This window comes from Homo sapiens, chromosome 7, assembly GCF_000001405.40.
Source record: "Homo sapiens chromosome 7, GRCh38.p14 Primary Assembly".
Classification (NCBI taxonomy): Eukaryota; Metazoa; Chordata; class Mammalia; order Primates; family Hominidae; genus Homo; species Homo sapiens.
Window position 1 is genome coordinate 122,326,355 of NC_000007.14, and position 23,452 is coordinate 122,349,806.

Genomic DNA, 23,452 nt, shown 5'->3' on the forward strand with positions numbered 1-23,452 from the left:
ATGCAATTTTCTGCTCCTATATGTCTGTCAGTCTAGTAAAAGAAAATATTGTTCCTGTTTTCAAAAAAAGACAATCTGCCATTACAAATAACATTTTTAAGGGACACAGTGATTCAGAGCTAGGTTTAGATAACACTCTAAGAATAATGCTACTCATTCAGATAAAAGTGAGAAATATCAATGTCCACTCAGCATTTAGAAAATGACAAAAGAGTTTTGAAAGACAGGAGATTTTGTGCCTTGCTTGTATACACAAACATAATGACAGTCCAGATCACATATGTGTGTGCATACGTTCTAAAGAATTTAAACACCGAAAAAAAATTAGAAAAAAAATTTTCTCTACATAATAAAACCATAAATTCAACTTCTAAAATAAATTTTCACTGATCCAAGTCTGAAATTCATCTGGATTTATATTTATTAACATTGATCCAATACAATTTAGTTTAACAAGAAATGGTATTTTAAGTATAAATTAAAAATGAATTTTACATTTTACCATGCTTATTTCCATTAATTTGTTAGTATAATGAACATATATGCATCAAATGAGATAAGCTAATTTAAATGGATAACTGATATACTAAATAATAGCAATCAAATGGATAAATAAAAGCTTCAAGTTTTAAAAATGTGAGATGGACCATGATTTTTTAAAAATATGTTATTCCTGTATCTAATTTTGCTCCTTCCTAATGAGCACTTTCCTAATATTCAGGACATGTAAAAATTTCAGCAGTTCTATAAAACAAGACAGTCATACTCCAAAATCCTTAAAAAAGTAAACTTCCAGTAAATTCAATACTTTAACTGGCACGTTAAATCTCAAAATCTTTTATAGATACTTTAATTTCCGACACTAAATTCTATGCTACTTATTTCAAATAATTTACAGCTTCAACTTCTTGATTTCTATTTTAATACAGGCACTCACTCACAAGTATTGGTGATATTGAATATGAGTACAGTCAATTGAGGCCCTTCTACCACACCACACTCTAGATAATTTGAAAGTGAAAATATTGTCATAATGGATGTGACTCTTAAAAATTACAGTTATTTTGCAAGGGATAGTAAATATTTCTTTCTTGTTGAAGGAGAGAAACTATATATATTTTACGAAGCCTAACATAACATACTGGTTACTCTGTTAGACTGCACAGTTACTGTAACTTGGTAAGTTGTATAAATTTGAGGGAAATGAAAAAACTTTCTTAAAATTACTCTATATGCATCTTTATGTTCTTGAAAATCCTTATATAATTTAAAATTAACTTCATTTTTCCATTATATATAAAATGGTACTTATAATTAAGTGATAATTGAAAAGACATATAATGTAACACAGAAATCATTTATATATAACTTATTTAATACAATGCCAAAATAATAATTTTAGAGAAAAATAATCTTAGAGAAAAAGAATTTGGGAATAAAATGATCTAAAGTTAACTGCAAAAACAGAAAAAGAGAACTATTATTAAGTAAAATGTTTAAGCTATTTATCATCATCTTACTTTGAAGGACAATAAATTGTTCTATCAGCAAAAGCTTCTAAGAAAAAAATTATTCTATCAAATAAGAAAAAATTATTCTATCAAATAAGAACGTATATTTTGGCTCCTAAGTCAAAGCATTTTCAAGACACACTTCAAATTAAGCAAATGATTAAGGAAAAGCAGCAACTTAGCTCAGAATATTTGCTGCCACTAAGAATAGCCTAACAACAACAAAAATCCCATTATGACTGCTTTCTTGTATACAGTAAAATGCAGACACACACACACACACACACACACACACGCACGCACACACCTTAAACAAACAATGAAAGCCACCAGACAGAAACCTCTAGCACTTTCTTATTTCTAGTGCTGGGATTAATACGTCCTCCTTTTGAGTACTGAATATGGTAGGTCCCATTTTCTCACACTGAGAAAAAAGTCAAAGATAGGTTCTCTCCATTCCCCAATCCCCTCCACCAAACCAAACCAAACAAAAAATTGGAAAAGGGTGAATGTGCAGTAAAGTCTCCATGTTAGAAAGTGCCTTTTCACTTTGGAAAAGTTAATTTTATAAAACAACTTGGTTGACCATTCACTTTTCTCCACAGGGGATGAAAAGGAAGGGGTGCCGCAGCTTGCACAGAAGGTATGGGAATGGCATTACTGCTTTATTCTTTGCCTTGGTCTACACAGGAATAAAGCAGTAAGTGTATATTTTACAAATTTTTTCTACATCAATCCATGACAGCAGCCTACCACTTTAGCAAAAATATGTTTTTTTCTTCTTTTTGTGGTTCATTCAACTCCTGTAAGGGCATGCGTTACTCACTGCATTTTCTTGAGATATCTCTTTTAAAGCAAAAATAGAAGAAAGGGAAAGGCTAGGGTTGACTCTGTGAGACCCCTGTATTTATTCACACTTATTGTGCATGACTGTAGACTGGTAAATCATATTAGCAGCCCGCCTCCCCATCAAGCTGCTACTTGCTTTCCAGCCCTGGGAAGGTTCAACAAATCAACAGGAGCACGGAAAACAGAACATCAGTCTAATCTAGTGTTTAAGGTGAGGTTTTCAAACCCAATCTAAGAAGATCTTTAGAGCAAGCAACAAGCTGAAGGGCTCAGAAGGTGGTATTGACAATGAAAGAGTGTTGAAATATTGAGAAGCGCAGCACTTGTGCATTTTTAATAACAAGAGGGTCAACAAGGACACAGCTCCCTCAGTGCCAGGAGTTGCCACTGACTATGGAAATTGCCACACCAGGGCTATAAACGCTTGCAGTTCATCAGCTTTCTTAAACAGTTCATCAGCTTTCTTAAACACCCTGAACCCCCTCAGTGGACCTTTAGTCTTGAATTAACAAACCAAAGCAATGAAAGAGGGTGCAGTCTGAATGGCTGGCATTGATCCCCAACTGTGTCAGCACTGCTACAGGCCCTGAAAAACTCTTTCCATTGTCAATAGAAATTGACAAACCTCATCTCCTAAATAGTGCAGCTGAGCCGGGCGGGATCCACGCAGCTGTAAAGGGCTCTGCTCTTGGGGCCGGGGAGCACTAACAATAGAACAAGCATGAGCTCTTTGTCAGTCCCAGACTCGGCAATTTTCTAACAAGGATTAAAGTTGTTTCTCCGCAGAGCTGGTGAAAAGAGATTTAGCAACATACCGTGCTTTCTTCATGCAAGTTAAAGAGAAGTAGTTAAGGAATTTCATTATTCTGTTAACTAGTGGAAATACAAAACAAATATATTAAATATGCACAACTCTCCTTTTTACCTAATTTATAACATTTTGAGGATGATTCAATTAAATATAACACGTATTGCCTGGAAACAAGCACTTCACCTTTATTTTGGAAGTTTTATTTTTAAAAAGTCCAGCTGCTTGCCACCTGGAATGAGGTCTCAATACATACTAATGCACAATGCCTTTAGACCCTCCAAGGCTGATATTCCTAAATCTGAATCACAAGACCACATAGGGTTTATATATCACGGCTGCTTCAAGCAAATGATTTTTGTCAGAATGCGGCTTCTGATGATGATGGCAAGGTAAAAATAGCTGCTTCGCTAGGGCACAAATCTGTGATATATTTTCTACTTAAGTGTTTAGCTTTTTATTGATTATGAATTGGTACAACTAGTTGATGTATTTTTATTCTTCTCCAGCTATGCTTGTCTCAATAGGTGACAAAGAAAAGGAAAGAAAAAGAACCAACACTTTTTAGTGAATTAAGACCTGAAATGGCTAAGTTTCCAGATTATGTATTTCTTCATTTATTTCAAAAGAATCTGTATGTTTGGCAAGAGTTGAGTCATTGTGTTAAAATGAAATAACGCCAAGAAAATCTCACCTTAGGAAATATGTACCTTTTAAATATAAAGTTAAATGAAAGAACAAACAATATTTGTTAAATGAGGAAGGCTTGGATAAATTTGATAAATATAAGCCATTCTTCAGGATCATTTAGTAAAGAGCAACAAAATATTTAGAAACATTAATGCACTACAATTTCACCAGTATATTTCTATTTAATGCAACTAAATTTGTGGCTCTGTTTCACTCATTTCCCATGTCTAAACACTAAAACGCAAATGTTATATTAATGGTAAATTTAATATAATAATGTCAAGGTTTTTCTACCCTGTTCAAGGCACCCCACTGAAACTATCATACCTGGGTTCCATAAAACCAGACCCCCAGGCACAAGCATTTTGCAAGTTCTGAGTGTGAATATTTTCCTGGCTTGGAATAGGAGTAAGGGCTATATTTAAGGACAAGTGAAACCAGCCTATTAGGTTTAAAAATACAGGAAGTGTTTAACCCAACCTATGCCAATCAACATTCCCAGCTCAATCCAGAGGCACTCATGGTGGGGGAAGAGAAGAGACTTGCATCTGGACATGGCAGCCGTGGGCTGGTTGTCAACACACCAGGGAAGAACACAAATGCAGACCCCGTGAGGGTGGGCAGTGCTAGCCCCATTTATGCTACTATTTGCTGGATTGAGTCTGTTACGCACCTTCTCTATGCCTCAGCTTTCTCATCTGTAATATGTGGGGTAGATTATATGAATCTATCTTTAAAATACTAAGATTTGAATGCTCTATAGAAATACTGTGAGTTTAAATTTGACTTACAGGAAAAGGCATGATGAGCTTGTGATTCTTGTAAAAATGAATGGAAGAGAAAAACCCAGTTGTCATTCTGTTTTTATATGTTGCTTCAATACAGCTTTATTCTTCCAGAATAAAGAAAAATCATCTAGAGTTCCAGAACTTTCTATTGTCTGTTATTTTTTTTTTAACTTATTCATCTGGCCTCTTAATGTATAGACATAAAAATGAAACAATAAAGTATACTGAGGAATGAGATTTATAAAGAACTGTGAATTACAGATACTGTTTTTATTAGTATTATTTTTATGAATTCTAATTATAAAGGCATCTGATATTTATTTTATCCTTCATAAGAAGTTCAAGTGATTCAGTTAAAATTTCATTTAGGCCAGTGCCTGTAATCCCAGCACTTTGGGAGGCAGAGGTGGGTGGATCACTTGAGGCCAGGAGTTGGAGACCAGCCTGGCCAACATGGTGAAACCTCATCTCTACTGAAAATACAAAAAATTAGTTGGGTGCTGTGACGTGTGCCTGTAATCCCAGCTACTTGGGAAGCTGAGGCATGAGAATCACTTGAACCTGGGAGGTGGAGGTTGCAGTGAGCTGAGATCACGCCACTGCACTCCTGCCTGGTTGATACAAGGAGACTCTGTCTCAAAAAACAAAACAAAACAAAAAAACAAACAAATAATTCATTTAATGCTTATGATAACTTTGATGAAGTGGGTGTAATTATTCCCATTTTGCATATCTGGAAACCGAGTTTACAGAGGCACAAAACTGAGTTTAGATTAAGCAATTTACTTATTCAAGTTTATACAATGAGTATGACTTAAGTGGTAGGGTAAAGATTTATATCTTATATTTATACTCCAGAGTCTGTGCTCATAACTCCTGTGTTATTTCACTTCTCTATAGAAGGACATCTGGATTTCTGTTTTGTCAATAACACCTTTGATGCTTAAGAGTAGTTCGGTGCTTCTAGCAGAAGAAAACTAGGAAAAGTGTCATTAGCATTTGTGGTCCTTACTGACAGTCACTGCAACATAGGATTATGCACAAATAGAGAAGGTACCTATTAATTATTTCCAAAAAAGCCCATTCAATTTTTTTTGCAGGTTGAAGCAATCCACATTTCTAAAGGTTAAATGTATCTGTAAATCCAATAACGTAATATACAATGTAAATAAATTCTTTGAAGAATCACACTCCCTATTAGGATAACCAGTCAAATGGCTATTAGGTTATACATCTCATATACTCTCTTAAGACTCATTTTAAAGTGCTATATACCATAATGATTAAAAACACTGGAAAATATTTGTTCTACTGTAGTAAAACAATGTAATGTGGAAAGACGATCCTTGGTTCTTCCATAGTAGAACTCTATATATGTGACTTTCTTCATCATCTTTTTTTTTTTTTTTTCAATCAGAACAGAGAAGCATGTGATTCATGCTGCTTTTTTCCATGTTGAATAAAGTCATATTCAGGGCAATTTTCATTTTTTAACTCCATCAGGCAGTTTGTAAATTAAGAGTATCATGTCTATTAAGGAATGAAAAGTGTAAAAAGTGCTAACATTGGGAAGGTTGGTATAAAATAGGCACCTAATAAATGCTTGTTGAATGCTGAAAAACTTTCCTATCTTTGGCATTCCATACTTCATCTTTTAAAAAATACATGAATATAATAACAGATATTTCCAGATGAATTAGATCCTCTTCAGTTACATAACACAATAAGTTCGAAAACAGGACAAGTTCTGTAAATTGGGAGCTGCACAAGCTCTTTCCAGTTCACTACTACTTTCAAAATACCCTTCATTCCAAAATGTCCTCAAAGAGATAAACTACCTCTTTCTTCAAACTACATGAAAAATATTTAAAAAATAATGTTCTTTATTATCAAATAAGCAAGTGCCTCTGCAAGTTTATTCTGTGGCTCCTTTCCTAGCACTAAAAAGACTAGTAATTGGAAAGTGAAAATTTCAGACAATCAGTTGTTCTGCCCTCCCTTTCTTAGTGTCCTTGATGGGATGCATACTGGTTTGCCTAATCTTTTGAGTGAAGTCACCAGTTAATGGTTTGGCTCATTGATAAATCCAGTTATAATGGTGTATGTACTAGTTTGGGGTGCAAACATCACCTTTATGAATGATTCGTTTAGGCAATATGAAATTTTCATCTGGTTGACTTATTTTGAACATAGTATATAAAATTCTGGTAAATATTGCTTTTTAAATCCATAATGTAGGATTTATATAAAAGTATATTGGACTCTTGGAACTGCTATTAAATGGTACAACTTAGTCTTGAGATGAAACTCATGCCTGAGAATGAGCTGTTAGCATGTCTTTCTGCTTCAGTTTCCTTATAAAAATGGGACACATTCCAAAATCTTCTTTTAAGAGTGTCCTAAGGACGGGAGTAGACAGCTACCTTTCTGTCTCTGAGTCACGGTGCAGTCCCCCAGGAACCTTTTTCAGCAAACTGACCCACCTGCAGCTCTGCCACATGCTAGGCTTCTCTATACCTTCGGTCTCTGGGCATGCCCATTCCTCTGTGTGGACTTTATTCCCAACTACATCTCCCTGTCCAGATTCATGTCAGCCTTTAAGACTCAGCTCAATCATTCATTATCTCTGCTTCTTAGCCAATACTATCTCTTACTAGGTACAATTAGGGGCTCACCTATTTTCTCCTCCTAGAACTCTATACAGGTGTCTATAAAAATATTGCACAATGTAGTTCATGTCTCCCTCAATCAGCTGTGAGTATACACAAGGCTTTAACTGAATCTTACTTGTATTGCTATCTCCAGCCCTTAGTAGAATGTCTGGCACAGAGCATGCATTCAATTTTCATGAAAAGACTGCATGCATTTAAATATTTATAAATATAAATTTATATATATATATATCATATCTATAATAGCAGACAGGCAGCTTTTCAATAGACAAAGGACAGATGAATACCAGAGCCAGATTCACTGTTGACTTGAATCACATATTTCCTTAACAGAAAAATAATTAAATACACGTTAAAGCTGTAGAAATCATTGAAAAGTAAACAGTTGCATTTGGCCAAAAAAATTTAAGACAGGACTCAAATGGGGCTTAAAATGTGACAGTCTAATTTTATTTTAGGTGATGAATGAAATAAAAGAGAAAGTACTATAAATTGATAAACTTTCATATCTATGTACATATATGAGAATACACACACACACACACTCACTCACAAAGCTATGCTAACACTATGAGTTCAGATGTTGATGTACTCAGCCCTCCAGAGGCTGTCCCCCAAGCAGGGAGCTGCCTCTCTAGCATATGCTCAGGTCTATTGGTACCCACTCTGAGGCCATGGGGTGTATTAGGAGGCATGGCTGGATGTGCTGCCTGTGCATTTTCACCACTAAGTGACATGTCCTGGGTGCGTTCTACACTTGTTGGCTTCGTTGAGCTGTTTTTAAAGAAAGGCAGAAAAATATTGTTGCTGTGGAAATAGTGAGTTCTGTCTGTAGGGATATAAGAGCTTGTTTGGGAGCTGATATAAGCCTGGCTTTTGAGCTAAGAACCCAGGAAGAACAGAGAGCAAGAGTGTGCTCTTATCTCACAGTCACGTCATTTGATGCAGGTGCTAGAACTGGATACAAACTTTGTGTTGGCTCTAAACCTTTAGCAAGTTTACAGTCATCCACTTGAAGCAGAGGGAGAAATAAATAAACAATTTAATAGATTAATTATTAGTATCTATTTTGAAACAGTATTGACTTTCAGTTCACCAGAGTACTTCCATTTAAAAAAAAATCTGTGGATAGCTATTCTGCAGATAAAAAAGTAAAACATTTTATGTGGAAATAAAAATTTTTCAAAAATACCCATTTGGTAAGCTCCCTTGGGGCAAGGACTTGGTCTATCTTGTTTAATACTGTATTCCCAGCCTCTAGCAAAGTGTGTGGTCTAAAAAGTCTTTGATAAATATAGGTTCAATTAATAAATAATTAATAAGAGGGGTTTCAACTTTCTATTCTCACTAGATTCCTATTGAGTAATTGTGACATAGATAGCCATCTCTATGGGCAAAGCCAAGACCTGAAGTTTTAATCTCAACATTTCCCACCATTTTTTACACATAGTAATTGAATGAGTTTGTTTTCTAGATCTTCTAATGTAAAACACCAATGAAATGGATATTCTACATGAATAAACATGTACTTTTACTGCCTCAAAAATAAATATTCTACATCATTAAACTTATACATTTATTGCCTATCTTTTTTTGAGATGGAGTCTCGCTCTGTCACCCAGGCTGGAGTGCAGTGACACAATCTTGGCTCACTGCAACCTCCACCTCCCGGGATCAAGTGATTCTCCTGCCTCAGCCTCCCGAGTAGCTGGGATACAGGCATGTGCCACCACACCCGGCTACTTTTTGTATTTTTAATAGAGATGGAGTTTCACCATGTTGAAAGTTCACATGTTGGCCAGGCTGGTCTCAAACTCCTGACCTCAGATTAATGCCTATCTTTAAGTTATGTAGCCAGTGAGAGAAAAAGTCAACAAAAACAAATATAGGGAATATATGGAACTATAGAGGTCAGTAGAGCAAAAGTATGGGAAAGTTATATATTAGAATGAATAAATAGAAGGCTTGAAAGAATCTTGTTCAGCCACGTTCAAATACTGCATCCTATCCTTGACTCTAAACCCTAAGCATGACAGAGAACACTTTGAGAAGTTTCAAAGGACAGCCACAAAGATGATTAAAGGGCTAGAAAAAAAGGCCTACAAAGTGCAGTTAAACAAATAGGGATTATTTATCCTGGAGTAGACAAGTATGACAGGTACCTTAATAACAGTCTTCATATTTAGGAGGGATTATTCCTTAGAGGATGCTGGCTACCTGCCTTTTGTTCTCCAATGAGAGAAAAAAGAGAAATGGGTTTAAAAATCAGCATGAAGAATGTAGGTGAGGTACGGGTGAGAACTATTTTTTCCCCTCCAGTGAAATATTTTGTCCATATTAAGACAGCAAAATTTAGATGATGTGTTATCTAGGGCTGTGCTAAGATCAAGAAATTCAGGGTTCTCTCTTACAGGTTAGGTGTTTATATGAAAGCTTAAAATTATTTTATATATAGTTTCCTGCCAATGCATTCAATAATCACATGTAATGATAGTTCTGCTGGTTCCTTACACAGATTTTTTTTCTTGGATTTAGCCAACACTGGTGACCTGGCTGCCACTGCTGTGCCCACTTGTGAATGGTCTGACCTTGCAGAAGGCGTGATTCACAGAGGGGGAGTACAAAAGGCCAGCACAGAAAATGGCTTTAAAGCCACCATACCATTTGTTTAAGAAGTTAGGATGGAAGAGATGGAGGGTAGTAGCTATCTGTTCTATGAAAACATTGCAGTGATCAACTGATAGAAATGCTGGTCTCAGGGGAAGCCTGGACATTTCCATGAACAAGGCACTAGAGACCAGTTGAAATGCAAGCATGCAAAGTCACAGGCTCTACATATAGAGGTCAGAATTTCTAGACCATCTTAAAGATGAAAGATACATGAAAGCAATGCTAAATAACTTTCAAATGCTCAACATGTTCCTTATAATCAATTCAACAGTCTCTTATAAAATTGGTAGAGAGAATATTCTAATTTCTTGAGTGACTTAAGCCTTTGTTACTGGCTCAGGTGGATGAATGCAAATATACATTATGCAATTGGTGTTTAGAAAAATTTCTCCACGAAAATGAAAGTTGTGTCACCTTCCATTCATCAAAGACAGTTTTACCATTGGTAAGAGAGCTTAGGTGATCAACATTTTCTTTTTCCTATTCAAGCAAAATCCTCTGGTCAGTTTGCATGTGGAATTTCTTTTTTTAATTCTGAGCACAATTAAAGGTGAGTTAAGGCTCTGGTGGAAATCTAAAGAGCATCAGCAAATCTGAGCACTGCTCAGCTTTTGAATTGCTTTTCTACTTCTCAGTTCTTTTAAATAGTTTTCTATGGCAGGAACATTTTTCTTAATTAGTCACAGCTAATTAGTGTTCTGGCATAGACAAGTAATCAGAAATGTCAGAGCTGCAAGGCTACATCTCCCTAATCCTTTGATAATAATTTAGCCTCCTGGGAGGGCCCCAAGCTGCGGTAAGTAGTGACTGACAATAAGGCAAAATTAGGTGGGCAGCAGACCATTAGGATAGAAAAATAAAAAGCACTACCAAATCCTGCTGAGCACCATCAGGCAACTAACTGCACTGCCAGATGAGGTGCCTGTTTAAGCCTCTGTTGTTAATTAGCTGATTCTACCAGACCTGCCACATATGTCCAGGTGCCTCATGCAAAGATGTGTATTTCTGGGAATGTGCCAAATGACAATTGTGTTCCACGATCACATTTCAAGAATCTAAGCAAGAAGCCCACATATTTCTTGAACATTCTTTTGAATTATCAAAGAAATAAGACCAACAAGCTATTAATACACTTTCTGGTTGAGTTTCTTTTAGGCAATTGGGCATGCTTATCTCAAGTTTCTCAGGTTTTAATTCACCAAAGCTCTGATTCAAATGAGGGCCTTTGGCCTCTCTGAACCACGTCTGGACTTGCCAAAGCTATTTTGGCATACACTATACATCAAAAGTTGATCCTTTTATAAATTCTTACACTTACAAATAATAACTTAACATTACAATGAGGATTATTAACTCAAAGGAACCAGACAGCGGTAATTCGAGAGCAGAGGTTTTAAAGAGAAACAAACTTTAAGGAAAAAAAAAAAAAAAAGCTGAGGAGCAGCTCTGTATGGCATCTACTGAGGCAGAGAAGACAATATAGAAACAGGCTTGACTATGACTATCTTAAAAGAGGTCAAACAACTTCAGTGTGAGTCCAAATACCATAAGTAAACCAAAGCAGGATTATATACAATGAAACACAACAATGACAACAGCTGGAAAACAATGTGTTAAAAGCAGCTAAGTAACAGATTGCTACAACATGTGAGATGAATAAGACACTGCTGCTATCATATATATAACCAATTAGTCAAACTTTTTATCCACCTTTAGTACACAATGAGGTACTGAGGTACACAACACAACAATGTTTATAAATAAATTGCCTCAGCTGGGTATGGTGGCTCATGCCTGTAATCCCAGCATTTTGAGAGGCTGAAGTGGGCAGATTGCCCGAGCTCAGGAGCTCGAGACCACCCTGGGCAACGTGGTGAAACCCTGTCTCCACTAAAGTACAAAACATTAGCCAGGCATGGTGGCACGCACCTGTAGTCCCAGCTACTTGGGAGGCTGAGGAAGAATTGCTTGAGCCCAGGAGGCAGAGGTTACAGTGAGCTGAGATTGCGCCACTGCACTCTAGCTTGGGCTACAGAGTGAGACTCTGTCTCAGAAAAAAACAAACAAACAAACAAACAAATAAATAAATAAGTAACCTCAAACAGCCTCAAGTACCTCACTGTACTCATATCATACATCCCTTTCTATTGATGGAAAAGGAAAATAATGGCTATGACATGGGAATAATATTAGTATTTGAGTGTTGATAGGAAAATCATGGTTGGACATACTGGTACAACAGTTAATTATTTATATTTGAGTACTTTTATATAAAAATAAGACCAAAGTGAAAATACCCTAATGGGAATCTATACTAATTTGTGAAGACCATATAACAACTATACAGTTATTAAAAAGTGAAAAATAATTGAAAAGAGGAAAACTGCTATTTTAAAACTGACATTCACATATAAGAAAGCATCCCATTTTTCTTTTTGAGACAGGGTCTTGCTCTGTCACCTAGGCTGTAGTACAGTGTGTGGTCATAGCTCACTCTAGCCTCAAACTCCTGGACTTGGATGATCCTCTCGCCTTAGCCTCCGAAGTAGCTAGGACTACAGGAACATACTATCATGCTAGGCTAATTTTTTTTTTTTTTTTTTGTAGAGACAAGGTCTTGCAATGTTGCTCAGGCTGTTCTTGAACTCCTAGATGTAAGTGATCATTCTCACGTTGACCTCTTGAAGTGTTGGGATTATAGGCATGAGCCATCCTGCCCAGCTAGAATTCTTCTATAATATCGTAGAATTATAAGACATGCAAGAAGGCAAAGATGGTCTTCCATCTCAGTGGGTTCCAGCCTGCATTCCTAGTAAACAGGCTGATTACATACACAAAGAAACTGGCTCAAATAATATGACTGAAAAAGTACATTATCAGCTCTAAATACATACAAAGAAGTGTATTGTGAAAGTTCTATTTAATGGTCACTTTTATCCATGTTTTGTTGATTTCAACTGTGTATTGTGAAAGTTCTATTTAATGGTCACTCTTATATAACCAAGTGTATTGTGAAAGTTCTGTTTAATGGTCACCCTTATCCATGTTTTGTTGATTTCAACTGTGTATCGTGAAAGTTCTATTTAATGGTCACTCTTATCCATGTTTTGTTGATTTCAACTATTCTTAGGAAATCAACATTGTAATAAACAGTCTTTAAATACATTAAGAATAGCAGTGTTAATCTTACCAAGAATGAGTAAATTCTCACTTCAAAAAGTTTGGGCATTGATGTGAAGCACTAGCTCAAAAGTTCCGGGCAGGCCGGGCATGGTGGCTCATGTCTGTAATCTCAGCACTTTGGGAGGTGGAGGCAGACAGATCTTCTGAGGTTAGGAGTTTCAGACTCGTCTGGCCAACGTGGGGAAACCCTGTTTCTACTAAAAATACAAAAACCAGCCAGGTGTAGTGCTGCACACCTGTTGTCCCAGCTACTCTGCAGCTGAGGCAAGAGAATCATTTGAACCTGGAAGTGGAGGTTGCAGTGAGCCGAGATTCCACCATTGCACTCCAGCCTTGGTGACAAGAGTGAAACTCCATCCAAAAAAAATAAAGTTCTGGGCATTTCCCCCTTTCTTAAAATTTGGGAGTCCAGAGGCAAACAAGAGCATGTAAGTGCAAAATCAGTTTCATTTTGAGAAGCACATTCACTTATAATATTTTCATTATTTTCTTTTTATCTTACATTAATAGTCTACTGAATCCATTTATATAGTATAGGTCAATTTTACTCAAAATGTTTAATTTAGAGTTTCTTCACTGGAAAGTAAGCATTCTTTTCACAGAAAGTCCTGGGAAATTAAGCCTTTATAAAACGCTGTTTGGATGAATATAACTGATTAACTATCATTTAAAGAATTACTTTAAATATTACAAGACATCATAACATTAAAAAAATCTTGTGGAGATGAAACTCCTCCACAATTAAACATTTAATCAATTTATAACAAAGAGCATGTTTAATCTGCATGATTTACCAATTAAACATTGTACCCTGATGTGTCTTCAGCAACATGAGAGCTAAAATGAGATAGTTTCCAAGGGATTCAAGGTGGGCAGTGCCCAATAAATGCACAATGGTTTAGAGAGTTAGGTAGGTTTAGTGTCTATCTTGAAAAATAAGATGCGCTTCAGTCAACTCTCAACTGCCTCCACATTTCAACATTCTTGGACCTTAGAAAATGACAAGAGAAGTGCTGTTGTGGTCATTACTACAGATGTCAGTTTTGACTTCTGAAAAATCACCCCTTTCCAGCCCAGAGAGCCAAAGCTCTGAAGAAATGTACCAGGATCTCTGCTGACACATGGACACCTGTGGCTTGTGCTACATGTTCTGAAACCTGAGAGAGTGAGCAGCCACTCTGCCTGGGAAGAAACATCACAGTAGGCATTAAAAATGGAATTGAAGAATTAGAAAATCTTTGTCATACTTTTTATATTGGGATCAGGTTGAAGATGGTTTTGATTTGATAAAAATTTTAAAAAGACTGCTCACAATGATGCCTTATGTGTTAAAAAAAAAAAAAAAAAAGGACATTGGTGTAAGAGAGAGAACCTCAAAGCAGAAAAACTTTCTTTTGGTATATTCATGATCTTTCCTACTACAGGATAACTTCTTTCAGTTTTTCTTACCCAACAAGTCACTTTTTTAAAATTGGAAAAGTAAATGTAATATCTAGATTATAAACTTAGCATGTGCCTCAGTGGTCACGTGAGAGGCAGAGATATCCTCTGTTTAAAACATCCTGGTCAGCTGGAAACACTGAGTCTGAATACAGAATATACATATTGCAACTTTTTAAAAAAATTTGGGTTTCAGAACCACAGTGATAGATATACACAATGTCATATGGCATAGCTACTTTTGTAGATAGATTTTCTTTTCTATTAATCTACTGCACATGCTACTGCTTCTTTGGTGGGACACCTTGTTTTCACATGGCTATCACAAAATAACTTAGAAATTACTATACTGAAGTACAAGACCCTTTATGCAATCAGTCCAGTAATTTCGGTCATCATTGCTAACATTAAAACTAAAAAAAAAATTGGTTTAAAATCTGGAAGAGTTTCAGAAATCATCTGGAGTTCCAGACCAACATCTTTAGTTTACACGTACTAAGTAAACTGAGTCTTACACAGATGGCATAACTTTTTCAAACTCACCCAGATATTTAATGGCAGAGCTGTGGTTGGAACTCAAGTTTCTGCATTCTCAGACCAGAGCTCTTCCCATAACACTACTTTATCATTTCAAATTTTGTTAAGTCAGAGGTAAGGTAGAGAGAGCATAGACTTTGAAACTTGAGAAATACGATTTCAAAGTTTGACTCAACAATCCACAAGTCACTTATCTTCTCTGAGTGGGAGATGTTTTAACCTAAAAATAGGGATAAAATGGGATTGACGGGATCTAGCCTAGGAGCTTGGAAATGATATAGGTGAAGCACCTAGAACATTTCCTGGAACAAGGAGGTGGCCAGGAAATGGTAGTGGTGAAAACTACAGCTATTATTTTGATAGGTTGAAAAGATGAAGGATGTACCTTAAACAAACTTAGTTTTCCCTGTTAACATCATGGACCTGCCATAACTTATTTATACTTTTAAAAAGTTATTTCTGTTTTAAGCAAAAAGTGTTTTGTAAATGTGACTACTTATGAGGTGAATATAATGCCTTCACATTTGTCCTAATGTTAGCTTTTGTGACCCTCAAAGGATACTTTTAATTTTAATATTTCAAGATTTGATGTAAAAAAATTAAAGATTATCCTATTTATGACCTTTAAGGTAATGCAGATTTTATTTATTTCCTCTCTCATACTTTGACATTAATGACTTATTATTGGAGATGGGAATGATAGCAGCAGTGCAGAATACCCCAGAAGCAGATTTTATACGGTAAATGGCTGTGTAGGTTGTACACTGAAAACTCTTGAAGATATCAATCTCATTCCAAAAACAATGGGCACGAATCTAGGCCAATGTCATGTTTTTGGTCTTAAGCAATAGCAGCTTATTTAAACCAAATCCTGGGGTATTTCATCACAAAAATCAGGAACAATCAAGGTGTTTAAATGATCAAAAAGTTATAGAGGTCAGGGATACTGTGAGTAGTTAGTTACTACACTCAGGGAAAGTTCCACAAACTTTTTAACACAGCTGCATCACCTGCAAAGATTATTTAGTATTACATGCTTTCCAAAAATGTTGGGGGCAGGGTGAATATGTTTTGCAGACTAATTGTTTTATATAAAAATAGTGTTATATGTGGCATTTCCAAAACTAAGTGAATTTCTTGAAGAGTTTAAGCCCTCATGTTGCATGACCCAGAAACTGTAGCCCTTGTTTTCTAATCTGGGTTGGTTAAAACCACTAAGTTTTAATTCAGTATAATGTGTGTGTAACCATGTTTTCACTTGCATCTGAAGTTAACAAGATCCATTTACTTACTTATATAGGAAATACTCTAATTGGAATAGCAAAAGTTCGTCATGATGCCTGAATGAAATTTTTCTCTTCAATCTTTTATCTGTAATAGGCTAAGGTTGCTAACAGTATTTATAGGGTCATTATTTTCAACTGTTTTTTGACACCTAACAATATTATTTTAGGCTCCAGCCAAGTGGATTTCCAATAATTACATAATGTCTCTCAGTAATGATCTGTTGCTTAAGATACACATTCTACTTTGCCTTTCAACACGTACTTGATAACCTCTCATTTTCTAACTGTAATTGAGGCAAATTCAGTCTTGGCTGATTAGGGGCTTTTAGTATCCCCTCATACATGTTATTCCTGATGACAAATCAATAGAATTAGGGTCTATTTTTATTTTTAAATAAAGTAATAAAAATGTGCAATTTAAAAATATTAGAATGTTTAAGGACACTACAATTATTTTACAAATAACAAGTCCAGTGTTCTACCGGGGATATTCAAAATACAAAACCTTCACAACCAAAACAGAATGGTTGCTTATTAAGGGTTACTTTTAGACCCATAGCCATGTCAGATGCTTAGGCATTGAATGAAAGTATATATAACCAAGGCAATTAAACTAGTGTTATATTTTAATGTTGGCCTCCTTAGAGCCACTTTAGTTCCCTCTGTCTGTTATCATTGCCACATAGAAAGTCTTCCAAAGAACTTCAGTGAATGAAGAGGAGTTGGAAGTAGAGAATAACTTCAAGGAGAAAAAACTTCTACCTTTATAATGAACTGATGGCAAGAATGGATTGCAGTAAATAGGTCACCGAGTCAAAAAACTGAAGATGTTCAGAAAGTTCACCCATTCCCCTTGACAAATCTATCTATGATGGTCTACTTATAGAATGGCTTTAACTTTTCAACATAGAAGACGTGCTTTAGCTATTCTAAGAAGAAACATAATGGGAATAACATCAACTCAATTTCCCTCTTCTGTTCAACAGTTTTGAAAATCACCACATTAGCAGAAAAAGTAAAAGAGAACTTGGAAATGAAACATATGCTTGTAAATTCAGAGCAATACCAAATGGAAGCAGAAGTTGCTAATATGGTTTCAGTATTTTGTAAAAGAGCCAGCTGGATGGATGATAATTTTTCTACCCCTGCAGGGCATCAAAGCTTTTAGAAAATCATTTTTTTCACACATATTAACACTTAGCTTATTAAAACAGGCAATACTTTTTATTGTATGATAGCCTGAGTAAAGGGTAGAAACATAAAGCATGAAAGATAAAATTCATTTTGACCACCCAAACTGACAGTGAACACTGACACGAGAGACCACGGCAGAGAGGATGACGTAGCAGGACCTTCTGCAACTGCCACAGCTGAAGTGTCACCATGAAGCCCGTGAATTGCTGTTACGAAAACATTTGCCGTAACTTGCATAATTAAGTGAAACTGCCAGAAAAGCATTTCTAAAATGCAGAGAAGATGTACATAAATAAATAAGCTTCAAAGCAAATATTACATTTAGGAATCTGTATTGTGGTGAATTATGCAAAGTTATGTCACAAGCAAAGTATCATTTCCTTTGAACTGACTGTAAAATAATTACAAATGAATGACAATATTGTTATTTAAATTGACTGCTCTGTTAGTCTCCTTTACAGATACTGAATAAATGAAACATGACGATCACAGTATACAAAACCACAGTCCTCATTTTTAGGCATTGTCATGCCTAAATGAAGACCTTAGTGCTGATAAAACTGTAATACTGCATATTTTAGCACATATCAGTACTTTAAATCAAGATAAAAATGTTCAACAGTAGAGTGGCAGATATTTGGCTTTACTGCAGCTTATTTGTTTGTTTAACAGTAGAATATCATATTGACTTAAAACATCTTATAGTAGGGACCACATCCATTAGAACATGATTCTGTTTATGGAATGCTGCAAAAGGCAAGTGAAAAGATGCTGAACACCATGGTAAAATTATTATTATCTGGCTTTTTATAACTAACCTCAGGTTTTTGAGACTCATTCTAATGGTGACAATTTTTATATAGAAAAGGAAGCTAATTAAGGCCTCCAGCAGTCAAAAGAAGTATAAAAATTATCAACTATATTAGCTGCAAATGAACAGGAATTGGAAATGGGGAATAACTTCAAGGAGAAAAAACTTCTACCTTTATAATGAACTGATGGCAAGAATGGATTTCAGTAAATAGGTCACCAAGACAAAAAACTGAAGATATTCAGAAGGCACCCCGCCATCCCCCCGGCCCACACACCAACAAATATACCTTTGATGGTCTATATCTAGAATGGCTTCAACTTTTTATTTTTTTATTTAGTCATTTTTTTGAGAGAAAGTCTCACTCTTTCACCCAGGCTGGAGTGCAGTGGAGCAATCTTTGCTCACTGCAACCTCTGCCTTCCCGGCTCAAGCGATTCTTGTGCTGCAGCCTCTCGAGTAGCTGGGATTACAGGCATCTACCACTACACCCAGCTATGTCTTTTATTTTTTCTTGTATTTTTAGTAGAGACGGGGTTTCGCCATGTTGGCCAGGCTAGTCTTGAACTCCTGACCTCAACTGATCCACCGGTCTCAGCCTCCCAAAGTTCTGGGATTACAGGCATGAGCCACTATGCCTGGCCAGCTTCAACTTTTTAGTATAGAAGATACAGGATCACAAAAAGGAGACTATGCTTTGCAAACATACCATCAAAATTCAACTTTTCTCTTTGCAGTTTATCTATGGTGTCAGCATACCTTGCAAGGGAAGCTACTTACATCAAATAACTTTTCTATATACATTTCCTCATTGACCTTTTCTCGAAGAATATCTTGGTTTTGCCGAACAAACATAATATAGGTGTCTGCCAGATCCATTCCTGGTTTCTGTTGTGAAGGAAAAGCAGGGGGAACAAAATAATATCAGGTCTCAATTGTGAAATTATTATTTAATCATACCCTGAAAAATAATTTTGAAAATTACAGTCATAACAAGGAGCTTAAAACTAAACCAAAAGTGAGCATCTTCAATACATTCCATAATTAAAGCAAATAAAAGTTTATTACTGATGTTCACAACTTGAGATCAAATTGAAAATACAGAGTTGTAGATCCGTAGATATCTTTTTTTTTTTTTTGTTAAATGGCTATCTTGAAAGGCCAGTATGTCAAGCAGTATAAATGAATAAATTTTTCCAAAAATTTTCCATGTGTAATTATAATTTCCCAGTTGCAAATACAATTTACTTTGCATCATCTCTGGCTGGCTTATCAATAATATTTAAAAATGCGCTGAGTGCCATGGCTCATGCCTGCAATCCCAGCACTTTGAAAGGCTGAGGCAGGTGGATCGCTTGGGCCCAGGAGTTCAAGACCAGCCTGGTCAACATGATGAAACCTCATCTCTACAAAAAATAAAAAAAAATAGCTGGGAGTGGTGTTGTGAGCCTGTAGCCCCAGCTAGCCAGGAGGGTGAGGCAGGAGAATTGCTTGAGCATGGGTGGTTGAGGTTGCAGTGAGCTGTCATCATGCCACTGTACTCCAGCCTGGGCAACAGAGCCAGACCCTGTCTCAAACAAACAAATGAAACAAAATAAAACCAAACCAAAAAATGTTAGCTTTCCTTAGGGTGCCTCCCTCAACTACTATGGGCGTTCAAGGAATACAAACTAAATTTTTTATTAAGCTGAGTAAAATATTTTGAAGAAGATATTGGGGAAAATATTTACTATATTACAAAATGAAATGTAAAATATCTTGTGGATTATCCATTGCTTCTACTCAATATTTAACAACATTATCTGAATAATTTATTTTCTTTTAGAAATGTGGCAAGAGTATCAATGAACTAGTTTCCTATGTACAGCCGAAGATGTGGATTAAATACCTTTCCAAAGTTATTTAACATTTGGTGTCTTCTAATAGTAGAGGAGGTAATACAATTTCTCCTTGCTATAGATGCTGCAAAGTCAGTACTAGTAAGGGATAGATGCCTGCATGGCTGTTAAAGACTTTTTTCTAATTGATTTATGTTTAGCTCTTTCTTGAACTTCATATAGCTGGACTAGATAATGAAAGCACTTACTTGTGTCATCTACACCTGGGCTTGGTTCCTAATCTGTATTGAGTTGTTGATTAGAGTATGACATTAATAAGAACAAAATGATAACTATCTATCACTAGGTAGATCTGCTACCAATTTGATAGGTAGATCTATTAAATTAGATAGATCCATCGACCTAATGATAGGTAGGTAGAACTGATGCCCAAATAAGCCAGTTAGCCTTGCATCATTTCGTATTCACAGAAAGCATTTATAACCTTTGTCAGCAGACTCATTTGCAAAAGTAAATACTATAAGAAAATTAGGTTAAAGAGGATATGGGTCATTTAACTATTACCATTGCTGGAAAAAACAACTCAAGGTAAACATGTGAGTGATGCTAGGACAGTAGTCACATCTTCTCCCTAAATGAAAGAGAGTTCTTGCCATTTTTTTTTGGAGGGGGCATATTTTATATAACATAATAAAATTGACCATCTCTTAACCAATATATAGTATAGGCAGTGAGCATGTCTTACTTATTCCATTTATAAAAATTAATGATTTTTTGTTACAAAGTTATTTCTGTGCAGTAAGAATTACTGCAATCTCTTACTGTTCTTATATTTAGTCTAAAGGTAAATATATACCACATAAATTCAAGGATCCTTTCAACATGACCCTGATACAACAACATTAGCTGTAACTTGAAATAACTATATAAATGTCTTTACTGGTCTCTCCTTCAGTAGCATTCATACACAATGTTGGCTATCTATTTTCAACCTAATGGAGGCAATTTATCAAATTCATTCCTTCACTATTTCAATAATTCTCATGAGCAATGTTTGAAAGTTTAAACAATTACAAGGATAAACAATAAAAAAGCTAGACTGTTTTCTTCTTTGGGTCTAGCAAGATTATACATTGGCTCTTCCAGTGAAGAGGCAGGGTAATTTGTACAAAGATTACTACTATTAATACTTGAAGGAAACTAACTCCTAAGATACATATTTCTCTCTGTGCCTCTCAAACTTTGTCAAAACACTGACAATGAGAACATTCAAAAAACCTGCTGCTGCAGAACGAAAGTGACATGAGAACAATTTTCAATACACAATAGCAAGTTAACTCAGTATCTGAGTTTCAGGCAAGTATCCAGAAACAGGATGCTGTAATGTACAAAATACCAAGGTAGTTGGGTACAGCCCAGTTGAACTGGGAGTTGAAGAACAGACAAATGGGACGCTTGTCTTTACTACTATTTCTCCCCACCCCAACCCCATTTTTGTTTCCATCTTTTAAAGGCCACTGCTTAGACATTCAGTTCAGTCAGTCACTAGACCTATCAGTCTCAGTGGAAACTAAGTTATGGCCAGGAAGACTGAATAATGACTTTAAACATTTACCATAGACACTACGGTAATTTCTTTTCTGTTTCCTTGATCACTTATAAGATTAGACTATCATGAAACACTGTCCAGGAAGAGTTTATTTTCCACCACCTGAAACTAACACTTTACAGTTTAAGCCTGAAAGAAAACGAAATGCTTTTCCTATTGGCAGATCCAAGGGATATAATACTGAAATTTCTAAGTTGAGACAGTTCCACAACTTTCTAAGGAAATAAAAATCTCTGGCTGAGGATACACTTGATTGTTGTAAAAAATCAAGTGTTTCCTTTTTTTAAAAAAATTGCATTTTCTTCCCTTTTGGCAAATTAAGATCCACTTGCCTAAAAAACAAACCCAGAATTCTTACATTCTTCACTGGAATTATTTCTTCCTTTATCATTGAGCTGTTTACCTATTCTTGAAATTGTGACATATGGGAATTTCACACCTAGTGAATACATTTTCATGTAGCTTGTGGCATGAGTGTATAATCATTAAAAGAATATACACAAGTAAGAGTAACTGCAACAGCTGGTGACATTTACCAATTAGAATTGTAGTTCTTTAAAACACTTTATCTTTCATTTGGTGTATGAAGGGTAATTATCTCTGATAAATTGCTGAAAAAGATGTAATTTTCCTTTTAAACAGTTTCTACATACAGTACAAATGTGTTTGGATAGAAGACATTATCGCTGGTTCAATGCTCCCATGTGCTAAGACTCTGTTTTATTATGGTGGTAAAATTTACACACCGAAAGTCACTGCATCTAATTTGAATCATTATTAAGTGTTATAAGAATATGAAGTTTAGTGAAAATAATAACTAAGTATGCTAGTACATTTTTGTGGGGTTTTTTTTGGTGTGTACATGAAGACAATGCATATGATTGCATTGTAAAGACAAACTATAACTACACATTCTGATACAAATGCATGACTACCAATTATATCAAAAAAGTGGCCGGTTAAACTTCAACAGCTGTGGATTCAGATTAGTTTTTATTAAGAATATTGTATTCTAGAGAGCTATATTTAGAAATCTCTTCTAAATTGGTAATCATAGTTTTCTTAATATGAGAAAAATAACAAAAACCATATAGTAAGTACTCTATGTATTAAATGCCATTTCGGAGTAAATTATTTTTTTCATACTCCCATTTAAACCTCCAGGATCCTTAGTTCACTACACACTAACTCTTCCATCTTGTTTATTAAGATGGTAATCTCTAAATGAAAATAGTAGTTCCTAAATTACTTTTAATCTCATTCAGAAAATAATAGAATCTGTCTAGCAAAGTTATAGTGAAACAACACAAAAATCTAAAAAATTCCCCCATGAGCACAAAGGGATCAAGAACTATGGGAGGAAATGAAGTATTTTAAGGTGAGTTCCTCTGACACTGTATAAGTAATCAAATACATCAGTGAGTGAACGAATTTAAGAAAGGGTGCAGACTCCAGCACTTTTTTCCCAAGCGTTAATCACTAGTTAACCTAGTAAGATGAACACGCTGTTTAAAGAGAAAAAAATTCCTTGTTAATTATATGCTGCAAACGCTCTTGCTTCCTGCT

The 23,452-nt window shown here is 35.5% G+C and overlaps 1 protein-coding gene across 29 annotated transcripts in view, besides 2 other annotated features; it reads right to left on the minus strand.

Moving 5' to 3' along the window:
- The window catches only part of CADPS2 (calcium dependent secretion activator 2), a 568,050-nt gene that overhangs the window by 7,944 nt on the left and 536,654 nt on the right, over positions 1-23,452 (minus strand). For all 29 annotated transcript variants that reach the window (NM_001363398.2, NM_001009571.4, XM_047421032.1 and 26 more), the window contains one exon: positions 19,220-19,327. In NM_001363398.2, the coding sequence (NP_001350327.1) occupies positions 19,220-19,327 (108 nt within the window). The remainder of the gene's footprint in view (positions 1-19,219; positions 19,328-23,452) is intronic.
- Positions 1,120-4,670: an enhancer, noted in NCBI's record as "VISTA enhancer hs1809". NCBI's record gives its function as "enhancer in: neural tube[5/9] | hindbrain (rhombencephalon)[7/9] | midbrain (mesencephalon)[7/9] | forebrain[9/9]" and the evidence as "EXISTENCE:transgenic organism evidence [ECO:0001131][PMID:17130149]".
- Positions 2,618-3,282: an enhancer, noted in NCBI's record as "OCT4-NANOG hESC enhancer chr7:121969026-121969690 (GRCh37/hg19 assembly coordinates)". NCBI's record gives its function as "activates a minimal SCP1, AML or CMV promoter by ChIP-STARR-seq in naive H9 embryonic stem cells {active_cell/tissue: H9 hESC(naive)}" and the evidence as "EXISTENCE:reporter gene assay evidence [ECO:0000049][PMID:30033119]".